The 14,079-nt window shown below is 37.5% G+C and overlaps 1 protein-coding gene across 21 annotated transcripts in view, besides 1 other annotated feature; it reads right to left on the minus strand.

Annotated features, from left to right (window-relative positions):
* The window catches only part of DMD (dystrophin), a 2,220,167-nt gene that overhangs the window by 150,017 nt on the left and 2,056,071 nt on the right, over positions 1-14,079 (minus strand).
* Positions 10,074-10,368: an enhancer, noted in NCBI's record as "tiled region #5644; K562 Activating DNase matched - State 13:Ctcf". NCBI's record gives its function as "activates a minimal TATA promoter and a strong SV40 promoter by Sharpr-MPRA in K562 cells {active_cell/tissue: K562}" and the evidence as "EXISTENCE:reporter gene assay evidence [ECO:0000049][PMID:27701403]".

Here is a 14,079-nt window from a genome sequence, read left to right on the forward strand (position 1 = left end):
AACATAATTGATATACCTTCGTGTCATATGTAAATTATGTAGTGATGCCATGTATGATAATATATTGTTTGTTTATAGTAGATGTTTCTTCTTCTCCTCCTTCTGATTATATTATTATTATTATTATTACTGTTTTGATATGAACCACGGACATGAAAAGAGCCTGAAGCTCTGCTACCAGAACAAACTTCAGCTAAAATTTTGACTTCAGAATCAGCCATGACCTACTTGTTCCCAGTACCACTGTCTAGAATGGTGCAAGGATTGGAATTGGGGAATCCAGCTCGAAGACTCATGCGCTTAGCTATTCTGCTATGCTGCCATGAAGAGACATGGCTTCTTTTCCTGTGAGAAAGGTCTGTGTTTTTTCTAGTATACTCATAGACAATCTCACTGATGGCTCAGAGCAGAGAAGAGTAAATTTGCTAGAAATAGAGATAAAGAAGAAATGAAATGGGATGAGGTCAAAGAAGGCGACCCAGTACATTTTCCCGTAGCCAAAACTCTGGTCTTTGAACCACTTAAACTTTGAGGGTATCTTTAGAGAATAAGGGCATCTCTGACCTAAGGGACTGTGCAGGATGCTTCCCCATTCTCCCATCCATCTCTATTCTTTGTCCTTCTCCATTCTGCTCTGTGGCCCAGGAGGTTGGACCTCTGTGGGGACATCAATCAGGCTTTCCTGCCGTTTGGCTTCCTTTTGCTTTCAGCCAATTGGGAGGCAGTGATGAAAGGCCTACAGAAGGAGAGGAAAGGACAGGAGGAAGGTGATGTTTGGGTATTTATTCTTCAGGTTCCCTCCTACTGATCTCTGGCCTGGCAGCTGCTGAGTTCCTTGACCTGCAGCCACAAGTCTTGTTGGCCAGTCCTTTCCTACAGCAATAGCATTCCACCAGTTACGCAAACCATTCCTCCCTTTATCCCTTTGGGCAAAAGTTTACCATTCCTTGTTTTTTTTTTTTTCTCCTAGCCTGCCTAGAGCCTTGTAAATAGCCTTTTCATTATACTCTCTTCAAGTGTTCCGTTTGAATGTACCATCTGTTTCTCCCAGGACCCTGACCAAACTGAGACCCATCCAGCCAAAGCCACCCTCTGGGGCAATAGACTTGATGCTGAGTGGGGACTACTGATAGAGGAGAAAGTCAGATCCCCCCACTCTGGGGCTAAAAAGCAGATGAGACTCAGTCATTGGATAAATATTCAGAGAAGCCTCCTCTGTAGGCCCACAAAGAGCTTCTGGCCTTTTGAGGGTAAAGGCATATCAACAATTATGATGGTGACAACAGCAGATGTGAGGGTAAAAAGGATGCAACCAGCTTGTTCTTTACAAGAGCTTCAACGGTCTGCTTGATCTTTTGGAGAGAATGTCAAGATAAGGGTTAGAGAAATGGGCAAACTGGAAAGGGCTTAGTGTGACAATCTGGAGTTTGACTTGTATCCTGAAAGGTATGAGGGAGCTTTTTAAGGAAGAAAGAATTAAAGCATGAGTGTGGCTCTGTCCGGTTTGTCTTTTAGAAAAATCACTCAGGCAATGGTATGGGGGCTTGATCAGAAGACAAGAGTCTGAAATTCAGACATCAGGTACAAGGAGATTGCAGTATGAGGAGGATCTGAATTACAGCAGTGGCAGAGGAGGTGGAGAAATGATACAATAAGGTTCCAACTACAGGAGTCTTGACTGACTGGATGTATGAATGGAAGAGAGGGAAGAAGTAAAGCAATAGTCCTCAAGCTTGGCCGCCCTTTGGAATCACTCAGGGATTGTTAATAAATTTAGATGTTTGGGTCTCACCACCCTGAGATTCTAATTTAATTGGTCTTGGACATTAGGATTTCTAAGACTCTCCAAGTGATTCTAATATGCAGTGAAGGTTAAGGACCATTGTCCTTGAGTGACAACAAAGATTGGATGAGTAGCATTCTCCGAGCTAGGAATTTCAGGAGGAGGGGGCAGAAGAGGGTTAGGAAAGAGATGATGAATCCAGTCTTGAACATAATGAATTGGAGGTGGTGATGTAAAAGTGCAGGTATCCAAGAGACAGTTGGACATCTGAGTCTTGAGCTCAGAGGGAAGATGTCTGAATTGGAGCTATGGATTTGCAGTGTACTGTTGGAAGGGTCTTGGGTTCGAATGAGCCCATCTAGTGGAGGCTGTGAAGGGCCAACAGCTGAAACTAGGCTGTTCCTACCTTCCACAAACACATCTTTTTCCTTTCTGGGTTGCATGTGGTTTCAATGTTGGCCTGATGCTAGCTGTGTAAAAATGCAGAGTGGCATAGGAAAGGACAAAGACAAGGAATGGTTTGAACTGGGTACTTGCCTGGAGGGATGGTCCCGAGAGACTTCACCAACTCCTAGGGTTCAGCTTCTCTCTATCTATAGTGCGCCCTAAGTTTTAGTATAACCTGCATCACTTTATAAAAATTCATTTAGAGTATAGGTATCACTTCAATTAACTCGAATACATATTCTATAGTAAAATGTCAGCATTTGGGTATACAATAAAGACATAAGAATTCCATATTCCTCTTTGCATAGTACAAGTACTAACCATGAACAGTGACTCAGACATCTAACAAATGGGTTGGTGTATGGTGAATCATTGCTGGTTAGGGCAAATATTATAGCATACTAATTGAAATATATATATAACAATCCCCCTAGATCAATCTGAAACCAACATCTTCTGGATGTAAGAATATCCAGCCAGGTCACATTAACCAGCAAATGAAGAGGCCTCTAAGTTCAGACACAGAGCACTTCACACCCACACAAAAGCCTATTTTTCCAGGCCCTGTCTCTTTAGGGAGGCAGAGTAAGCCAGACTCAGGAAAGTTCTCTGTGAGCCAGCTGCCATCTAAACCAGAGATTTCACCAGACAGGTTCCAGATAAAGTCGAGCTCTGCTTCACTCTCACACAGTTTTCTTTTAATAAGATTTCTCAAAGCTTCACAGAGCCACCTATATCAAGCCGAACATCTAAAAAGATGTGAATTTTAGCATCTTCACTAAAATAAAGCCATACTTCATTAACCTCACAGGCCGACGGTTGCTTCATGGGAAAGAATTTGGAGTACCTATTAGCCTGCCAGCTATAGCGATAACCCATGTATATGACCCACACCACCTCCTGCTAAAAATGGATCACTGGTTAATGTGGTTCAAGTATATCTGACTACAGCATTCCTGGTCTACCTTAACAGCTCAAACTTGTAACTATTTGTCTGCCTTTCCCCACCGATTGTGCCAAATAAGCGGAATTTCAAAACTGGGCAGAAATTCTTACACTCTGCATAATCTCTCTTCCTCTTCAGCTACAAATAAGGCTTTGTATTCGATTAGACTCACAGCAGGTGAAAACCCCAATTAGTGAATTCATTCTGAGGCCTCTACCTTCCTCCCACACAACACATTTTTGTAAAAAAATCAGGGAAGTCTGCGTCTCTTCTCAAATCAGAAGTAAATTAACCCTTTGATCTACCCAAGCAAACTATTTACTGCATGAAGACTTTTCACTGCAAAATGGGAGGATGTTGAAAGATTCCTCCTTCTTGACTCCATAAGGGAGGTTACAGAAAATTCTATTTTATCAGACTTTATTGTTTTCTTCAAATCCATAAATACTCACATTTTCTGATCAATCTAGAAATTACAGTTTTTCTTTCTACCTGACACTCACAATGCTAATATTATCTAACAAAAGATTAATGGACAGTCTACTACAAGAGAGAATTAATTTTTAGTTATGTTCTTATTTTGGTGTATTTGAGGTGAGAAAAAAAATTAAATTTTAGTTTAAACAGTATGCTTTGGCCTTAGGAAAGGCACAGAGTCTATATTTCATACTTTGTAAATATTTATTTGTCAAAGAAAATTCATCATTGGACAAGGATAGATGTTTGGTTGAACATTAAAAAAAATCAACGCAGCTTTAGTTCTTAGAGTGATTTACTCATACTTTGTCAATTGCTTCTCTGGAAACAATTCACAACCTAGTTTTATTTATGAACATATGATTAAAAAACAGCAGCTTTGTCTTTTTTAATTGTTTTAGTCCTGTCACTTTTCTTGAAACAAGTCGTAGGACTTACCCACAAGAAAATACTGAGCATATATCAAGTAGTAATGCAGCTTTTAGAAGTAGTCATCTGTTACTGTCAGAGGTTCATTTCATTTTGAGTCTTTTTAATTAAAATGCAAAGTTCTACATACATGCCTGCCTAAATTACCCCTTTCTGAAATACTCAAATTTCAAAAAAAAATTTTAAATGCTAATGTAACCATTGTTAATACTCTAGACTTGCTTCTTGAGATTTGGAAAAAAGTAAACAAAGGAATTACCAGTCAATTAAGCGAACAAGGAAGTCATCCTAAGTTGAAACAGATAAGGAAAATGTAATAATCAAATGCTACAGATGAAGACACCAGCGTTTTTCTTTTTTTTTTTCCTGAGATGAATATCTACAAGAATCACGCTTTATCAAAAGCAGCTTCCTTAATCTTCAGCAAGCGTAGCTGTGTATTATAGCAAAGGCATGAAGATAGAGGGGCAGAGTGTCCAGACCAATTCTACCCCTTAGAGGTGGGTCACTTAACCCTTTACAGGCAAGTCACTTAACCACTTGGAAGCTTTTGTTAACTCATCTATAGAATGTGGATAATACTGCCATATTGTGGGTCAAAATGACACAACGGCTCTGACAGCAATTTGAAGGCTGGGGAATGCTGTGTTCATGCAAAGCAGCCTGTCAGGCAGGTATGATTTCTTAAAAGAGAACTCAGTATGTTCAGGAATAGTTAGGTATACAGAACCAAATAAATTCACTTTAACATTCTGTTTTAGATTGTCGTGTGAGGGAAAATGAGAGGTCTGAGTTTAGTAAACTGCTCTTCTGTAAACTGCTCTTTAGCAGTTTACAAAAGGCACCTTTCCTCTTTTTGCTTTTTACACTTAAGAAGGAAGCAAGTAGGAAAAGTAAGATTTTTTTTGTGTGTGTGCAAGATAAGGCACTAGCTGTAGCCTGAGATAGGCATAAAATTCACAGCGTTTGCTATCATTCAGTGGGGCCGAGATTAAAATATGAATAGTATTCACGCATGTTAAAAGGTATATCCATGTTCATATTCTCAGACAGCAGAAACCTGGAGTAGTCAGAGAGCAAGTGAATATTGATTTGGTGGGGGACAGTGAGGGAGAAATATCCCCTAGCTTGATGGAGAAAGTCTCCTGGTGGCAAGCCTTGAACAGCCAGCAAGTGGCAGGAATTCCACACAAAGACAGGGATCCATAAAAGGGGAAATAAGATAAAATCCAGTTTAACCAATTAATGATCTACCAATGTCTGAATCTTGTACTCCAGCTCTGGCTTACTTTTGTCAAGGCATGTTTTCAAGATGAAAGGAAAATACAGATGCAAGGAACTTTTATTTATCCACAAATTTCCAAGAATGTTTTTTATGTGCTCTATCTAGACTAAGTTTCTCTATTAAATATTATCCTATATTAAGTTCTTTAAATAACTTCAAACATAGTGTATTTATGGAACACTTACATATGTATTTGCTTATCATTTAAACTCTTCTCATTTTTTCTTTATGGTTGGTAAAAACTGGGGAGTGTTTGGAGAATGACATGGAAATATATAAAAATTTCAACATTGTAATCCAGTTTTTTTTTAAGTGGGATCCCAAGGAAATATGGCCTTTTCCTTAAGGAGCTTATGATCTAATGAGAGAAGATAGACCCATATATAGCTAAACACAGTATCAGACAGATTATAATAATTACAGAAATAGAGAGAAAAAAAGCAGCAAAAAGGGAAAGGTGATTAGTTTGGCCTCTTGGGATTAGAGAATATGCACTTCAATTAAAAACTAAGTAGGCTTTAATCACCTAGTTAGTTCTTAAATCAGGTTTTGTGTGTGTGTGTGTGTGTGTGTGTGTGTGTGTGTGTGTGTGTTCTTTTTGCTAGAATATGAAGAGTTGAAACAAGTTTCTTACATTGACTCTGTGAGCTAATCGCTCATATTAATAATTTACTAAGGTACAGAGTTTTTATGTTAATATACAGCTGTGTTACGACATCAGTTTAGGCTTTTTAGGAATTCAAAAATGTATTTGGCCAATATTGGATTTGATATCTTGGGAAGGCTAACTGGCAGAAAATACTACTTTCCCCATTAGGACATCAAAGCACATTATTGAGTTAATATGAACAAGACCTTCACGTGGGAATTGAAGTCCTCACAGCTTGACCTACTCTCATCCCTTAGAAACAGGTCGACAAAGAATTGGAAGCCTCTTTGCATATGATGGATAGAGAAGAAAAAATTGGCACCACCTGTACTTTTGAATATCTTTCTTTTTAAAATAGAATTAAATTTGAGGTGGGAAGAAACAAGGGTGGAAAAGAGGGTAGGGATCAGAATGGAAATGTATGCCAAGTAGATGATGACAACAGCCCAGTTAAGAGTGGATGAAAGTCTGAACTAAGAAAGGAGCACTGGGAATTTGTGGAGAGGCTGAATTCATGACAGGTTATAGAATAAAATCAATGCTACTTTTGAGCCAATTGAATGTGAGGGCTAGAGGAAAAGGAAAAGTGTAGGATTTTTGATAATGGCCCTATTAGCTGTGCATTCATGGATTCATATTTGTGTATATACTATGTACATATTTATACTGTGCATTGTTCTGTAAAGGCTTTAGGGCAACTTATAACAATGTATAACTCTTAAAAATTAATAAAACCCAGCACTAAGGAAATATAAATAGCATAAAACTTTAAGAAGCGAGGAAAATTTAGAACACAGATTTGTTTTTTGTTTTTTGTTTTGAGACGGAGTCTCACTCTGTCACCCAGGTCGGAGAGCAGTGGCACGATCTCGGCTCACTGCAAACTCTGCCTCCCAGCTTCAAGCAATTCTCGTGCCTCAGCCTCCCAAGTAGCTGGGATTACAGGTGCCTGCCACCACGCCCGGCTAATTTTTTTGTATTTTTGGTAGAGACGGGGTTTCACCATGTTGGCCGGGCTGGTGTCGAACTCCTGACCTCTAGTGATCAGCCCACCTTGGCCTCCCAAAGTGTAGGGATTACAGGTGTGAGCCACCATGCCCAGCCAGAACACAGCTTTGAAGATCACAGTGCATGATGTGGTTATGAAAATTTTGCTATGCATACCCACCAGAATGAGCAAGACAAACAACACAGGGTTAGAAAGGATGTGGAGCAACTACAACTCTCATGCTCTGTTAGTAGGAGTGCAAACTGGTACAACCACATTGGAAAACTGTTTGGAAGAATGTACAGAAGCTGAACACACACAGACCCTATAACCCAGAAATTCTACCCCTTGATATAGTCCTCAAAGGAATGCATACATATATTCATCAAATGGCATGTCTTAGAATGTTTATAACATCATTTTTTTCTACCAAATGCCCATCCACAGTAGAGTATATAATATACTGCAGGATATTGACACAATGGGATATTACATAGCAATTAGAATGAACAATCCACCACTTCATACAACAGCATGGATGAATCCAGGTTTAAAGAAGTCAGACACAAAAGAGTACATGCTGTGCAATTTCATTTATATAAAGGACAAGAACAGGCCAGAATATTTAATGGTGTTCAAAATCAAGATTGTGGTTACCCTTGGAGGACAGGTAACTATCAGAAGGGCACACAAAGGGCCTTCTAAAGGTTGGTAATGTTCTGTTTCTTTATTTGGATGCTGGTTAAATGAGTGTGTTCAGATTGTGAAAATTCACTGAACTGTATAAGTTTAAGCCATTTTTTCTTTTTTTTTAATTGACAAATAAAAATTGTATATCTTTATCATGTATAACATGTTTTGAAATATGTATACACTGTGGAATGGCTAAACCAAGCTAAGTAACATATGCATTACCTCATATACTTATCATTTCTTATGGTGATAATACTTAAATCTACTCTCTTAGCAATTTTCAAGACTATACTAGATTTTCATTACCTATAGTCACCATGGTGTACAATAGAGCTCTTGAACTTATTCCTCCTAACCGAAGTTTCATATCCTTTAACCAGCATCTCCCTTATTTTCTACATGCCTAATATATTTCAGTAAAAAAGTGTTTTAAAAGGTGGGTATAATTTGGTTGTGGCCTTTGTAGATGTCAAAGCAAAAGAAAAAATATAAAAGGAAATATGATCGATTTTATTATTTGGATTATTGATAAGGAGGAAAGAGTGTAAGTGAAACAAAGGAAAATCCAAGTCTGGAATGACTTAGATTGAATAAACAGATCTGCATGGGATCTAAGGTGGGAGACACTGCATGGTGTCGACTTTCAGAAAAATCCCTTCAGCAGTTTTCAGTGCCCCTCGACATAAGCCAGGAACATGATGCCGAGGTACACCTGAGTTGAGGCAATCTTATGGGGGCCAAGGCAAAGTGGTCTAAGAATGCAGCTTTCTGATGACCTGGCCTGAGGTGGAGATAAAACTAACTACAGTGTTTTTCAAACTGCAGGTCATGAACCCTTAGTACGTCATGAAATCTATATAGTGGATCATTACCAGTATTGTTCTTAATGAAACAGAAAAGAATAGAAAATATGACAGTGTAGAGGTTGGAGTGGGGAAAATGGGTTATAAAACTACCTATTGGGTACTATGCTCACAATCTGGGTAACAGGTCATGAGCCCCACACCTTAGCATCATGCAATGTTCCCATGTAACAAACCTGTACATGTACCTCCTGTATCTAAAATAGAAGTTGAAATTAAAAAAAAAAAAAAAATATGAAAGTGTACTATTTGGTATGGGTAAGTAATGTTTTGTGAAACTTTTCTTTCAATCATACAAGCATGAATAGACAGAAAAAGATTTACAGATATAGATGCGTGTGTGCGTGTGTGTGTGTACCAGGATGACATATAAAATTAATTTTTATAGTGGATTGGCAAAAAAGATGAAAGCTACAGGCTTTACTACATAAAGAAATGGACAAACTATACATGCCCACTGGACAATCATGCATCATTATAATTTCTCTAGACTAGGATTTGGAAAGAAGTTGACGGAAGACAGTTTGCAGTCTTATTCCCTGGTAAGGGCTGGAACATTACAAGAGACTGGAGGAGGATTAAAAGATTCAGGAGGGGGAGCAAGTTGGGGAGGCGTTCATCAAGTCTGAAGTTCTAACCACATGAGATGCTGCAGGGGCTGAGAATCTGCTCCAAGTTTTAGGGGGTGTCTTCTCTGCCAGCTGTTCGTTTGGGTGGCTGTTTGGGAGTATACCAGGAATCACTCAGCCTTTTTGTTTTCTTCCAAATGGCATGGTGATATTGTCACATTGCAGGAGGAAAAACATTGCTGCTAAAAGTATTGTTAAGGGGAGTAACAGGTAGCTCACACTACTATACACAACTGCACGTTGCCTGTCTGAACAAAACACTTCAAAACATAAACTGAGAAATGCCCTTCTGCTTCCATCTTGCAGTGAGACCTAATTCAAAGTCCTTGCTAGTGTGCTCAGGTCCACGCCAACAAATTGGCAAGTGTGTGCCTGACAGAATGGTCACATTTTAGGGCTGGATGGTCCCCATTCTATTTAATGCTTATAAATTCATCCTATTAAGTGCTTGGGGAAATTAATCTGAATAAGTGTCCATGAAGACTGATAATTATCATGATTTTTAAAAGTATTCTCATATAATTGTAGGAACATTTTAGACAGTCTGCAGCCATGGGGGTATTAAGCATATTATGAGTAAAAATAACAGCTTTAAGAATAAAATTCCTTTCAAAAGAGTGACCAGCTTTGAAAGTTACCAGAAGGAAACCCACAATCTTTCTTTTTTCAGTATTTAATCACAGCAGCTTTCATTAAATTCCCAGTACTAATAAGTGGTTAACTATGTTTGTAATCAGTATTTCTTATATTTTTAAAAGCACTAGATTATGGATGCTGTATGTCTACCATTGGCTGTGAAGCCACAAACAGTTTAGCCTAGCAATGATTACTCACAAAGCATGAATTTTAACAGCACACTCCATTTTACCTACATCTAAATTCAGAAGAGAATTTAGTCCACAGAGGAACCTTCCTGTAACTTTTCTTGAATATTTTGTGATATCTTGCAACATGGCCAAAAGTTCTAGCCCTCTCCTTGGTGTCCAGCTCTTGCAGTGTGCCTTTGTATCTCTTCCCACCAACAGGTGGAGTCTTTCCCCACTCCTTACATCTGGGATGGCCCTATGACATGACTTGCTTCGGCTAATGGACACTACCAAACATGACACAAGCAGAAACCTGAGAAGTTTCCATGTGAACTAGCCTGAACTAGCATGTTGGATGATGAGATACACACAAACCTAGTTGCATCTGTTCCTAGATGACAGCCTGTCAACCATCAGACATATGAGTCAGGTCACGATAGCTTATCCAGCTGCCAGCTGACTACAGATGCATAAGCATGCCTGGCAAACAGTAGTACAACTGGTCACACCACATAAATGGCCCAATCCACCCATCAAATAGTGAGCTAAGTAAATGGCTGGCCATTGTGTTATAGAGTTTATGAACTATTGTTCAAATTTGGTCTATGGCCTGCTTCTGTACAGCCTCTCAGCTAAGTATGACTACATTTTTAGAGTTGTAAAAAGAAAAAGAATGTGCAACAAAGATGCAAAGTGCTCCACAAAGCCTATAGTGTTTACTATGTTGTCCTTTACAGAAAATGTTTGCTGACCTCAGTGTTAAGCCAGTAAGTTTTGGGGTTGGTCTGTTATACAGCAAAAGTAGCTGTTACACATCTGCTCCCAAGAAAGAACGTTAGAAACTAGGCCTTTCTCACAAATTCAGTTAGCACCTAGTCAATTTATCCTTGGTGCATGTCCTCCAGTTGCTTGTTAATAAGATAATGCTGAAATGAACAGAAAGAACAAATACACATATAACCTGGGAAGTTATTTTAGTAATATGCTTCTCAAAAGTAAGATTTTATAAGGGGTATTTAGAAAAACAAGTATACAATTTTTAGCAGTCTTATTCATAATATCCTCAAGCTGGAAACAAAATCATTATGCTGAATATAAGAGACCAGATACATACAAAAATACTGTATGATTCTATTTATAGAAAATTCTTGAAAATGCAAAGTAATACACAGTGAGAGAAAGACGATCAGTGGTTGCCTAGAATCAGGGGTGAAAGGAAAAATGACCTGCAAAGGGGCACAAGGAGGCTTTTGGGGGAGTAAGAACGTTCTGTCATTTGACTGCAGTGGTGGTTTCACAAGTACACATCTGCCAAAAATCGCTGAACCACTTTAAATGGAGGCAGTTTACTGTGTGTAAATTTTTATTTAATAAAGTTTATTTTAAAATTTTTTTAAAAAAGCGTTTGCCCTAAAATCAAATTTAACATTCAAAAATGCATACAACTGCACAAAGAATGAGGTGCATCACACAGGATGTTTACATAAATATAGGACAGATTCAGGTCATGCTGTCAGTTCCCTTCTGATTAATTCCGAAAATATCAAAACATTAGATTCACAAGTGACCTTAAAGGTTAATGAATTATATCCTCTCATCCAATACAGAAATTGCCTTTAGGGGTGAGACAGTCATTTCAGTCTTGAAAATCTACTGTACAGGGAGTTTAATGCTTTTCAAAGTGGCGGATTTTATTTTTTGGAGAGCTCGATTACAAAAGTTTCTTTAATATTTAGTTAAAATATGCTTTCCCATAACTTCCACATATCTAGCTCAATCCATTCTCAGAATAAAACAGGAAAAAAATAACAAAAGAGAGTTCACAGTAGTAATGAATGGGCAAAACTGGCCAAATGAGGTCTTCAGGCAGAGGGCTGAGTTGAGCTTAAGAGATGACTGAAGAAGAAACAGCCATGTGCAAAGGCAGGGCCAACGACAGAGACTCTATTTTGTGTTGATCTAGATCTATTAATTGACATTCTTTAGATGTCATTATTTAATCAGCTTCAAATTCAGCCTATTAGCCAGCCCCACTGTTCTTTATCTTGTACCCAATATTCTCAAAAGAGAACTTGAAAAATGTGGTGTAAAATCCTAAGTTATGCTGTCTCTAACAGTCTTCTCATCTAACCATCAAGCAGCCATAAAAAAAATGAAAATGAGGTGCATGTGACATGGCAGATTTTGAGAGTATCACGCTGATTCCCAGCAGCATGTTATCCTATGTAATCATTAATAATCAGTACGATGTCATTTTCCAGGATTTTGTTGCTCATCAACATCAAACTTATTGGTTTGTAAATTTTAAAATTCATCTCTTTACTTTTTAAACGTTAAAAAAATGTTTTCTAATCTCCTTATATGACATCACCAATCCCTTCCCATGTTTTCTCTGAGTTTTCCACTGGCAACTCTTTTCATGGGAGGAGGAGTGACTTTTAGTGGATACTGGATAAGAAGAATGCACTCCTGTTGAGTAGAATGAGATCCCATGGCAGCACTTCTAACAAATTAGACCTAGTCTCTGAACAAAAACAATATGAGTTAAGATCGTCCCTAAGATTATCTAGAAAAGAATCCCGTTCCCATAAAGCTGAGTAACATTTTGGTCAGATTTGTGTCATTTTAAAAGCCAAAATATTTACCTAAAAAGCAAGTGATTTGAATGTCTCAGACTAAGTTATTTTTTACTGATCTATGGCCCTCAAATGAGTTGATGACCTTCAGTAGAGAAATGGTTCTTTATTTCTGATTTGTGAGAGTCATGCGACAGCAGTGGATGGGTTAAGAAGGTTAGAGGAAATTTGTTACATTGCTTTTTAGCTGTTGTTTTTTAGTTTGGTGAACAAACGAGATAACATAGCTAGTGCCTTTTAGTCATAAAGCAAAAATAAAACTACAGTGTTTTCTAATATTGTACCCTAAACCTATGCAAATCTCCAATTTACATCACCCACAAGCCTTCTATATTTTTGCAGATTTTAACTAGAGCTAAATAATAGGCATATATTTATACTTAATTGTAATCAAATGTAATGACGTGTGCAAAACAGGCTTTGCTCAAAGTGCTCTTTATAGATGAAATATGATTATTGAACTTGACAGTAGATCATTCATTGGAGGGAAAAGTGATTAATCACTTCTCTGTGCCTCTACCTTCCTACCCTTTGATGACACCGGTTATATTTCAAGATTCTCAATGCTATAAATGAACACTTTACTGAAGAAGCATCTTTATCCAATGCAAAATGAAATGTGTTGCCTAAGACTAATAAAGTCATTTACAAGTTTCAATGAGGAGCAAATATAAATAGTAAAAAAAAAAAAATCCATTATTTAACAGCAGTAAATCCAGTATGTTTTGGTAAAACAGTTTTCAGAGAAGCTCTACTTACGTTAGCTTTTCCTAAACCTTGCTGCAAAGTGTCAGTTCTTTCTAATATACAATCAAAGGAATTTTGTGTTGGGAAGAACATTTCTCATCTTTGTAAAGGACATTTAGAGGAGAGATAGGGAAAAACAAAGATCATGCATGAGGATTATGTGTGAGGGTATGGATTGACTGGATTTCAATCATTATTTTAAAAGGCTTATCTAAAATAAGGTGTTCTTTGAACCAAGTGGAGTCTGATTTCCAATTTTAGAATGTTTCCACATTTAACACTGACATTCATTATCCTGAAAATGAAGGCAGATACACATAATATCTATATGTATTTTAAATAAAATTGGTTCAATAATTTTTCTCAAATTTCATAACTTTTTCTATGAATCAATGTGTCAACTCATTTTTTCAACTTTTCAAACTGAAAGAAATTCCATTGATCTTTAATAATAATGAATTTAATCAAATATTAGGCAAAATTCTTTAGTGAAAGAACTCAGAGAATTTGATTAGGTGCCTAAAATGTCATTTTTAACATAAAAATTAACAAAAGCACAAAAATATTTCCATTTTATCTTAAAAATTAACATGCTATGTTATAATACAAAAAAAGCCCTCCCCTACCCCAGAATCCTGCATAAGAATGTGAATGGTTATGTTTGTTTGCGCAGATGGGGTTTATATTTATGTGTTTCTTTT

This window comes from Homo sapiens, chromosome X (genome assembly GCF_000001405.40).
Source record: "Homo sapiens chromosome X, GRCh38.p14 Primary Assembly".
In the NCBI taxonomy this organism is placed as follows: Eukaryota; Metazoa; Chordata; class Mammalia; order Primates; family Hominidae; genus Homo; species Homo sapiens.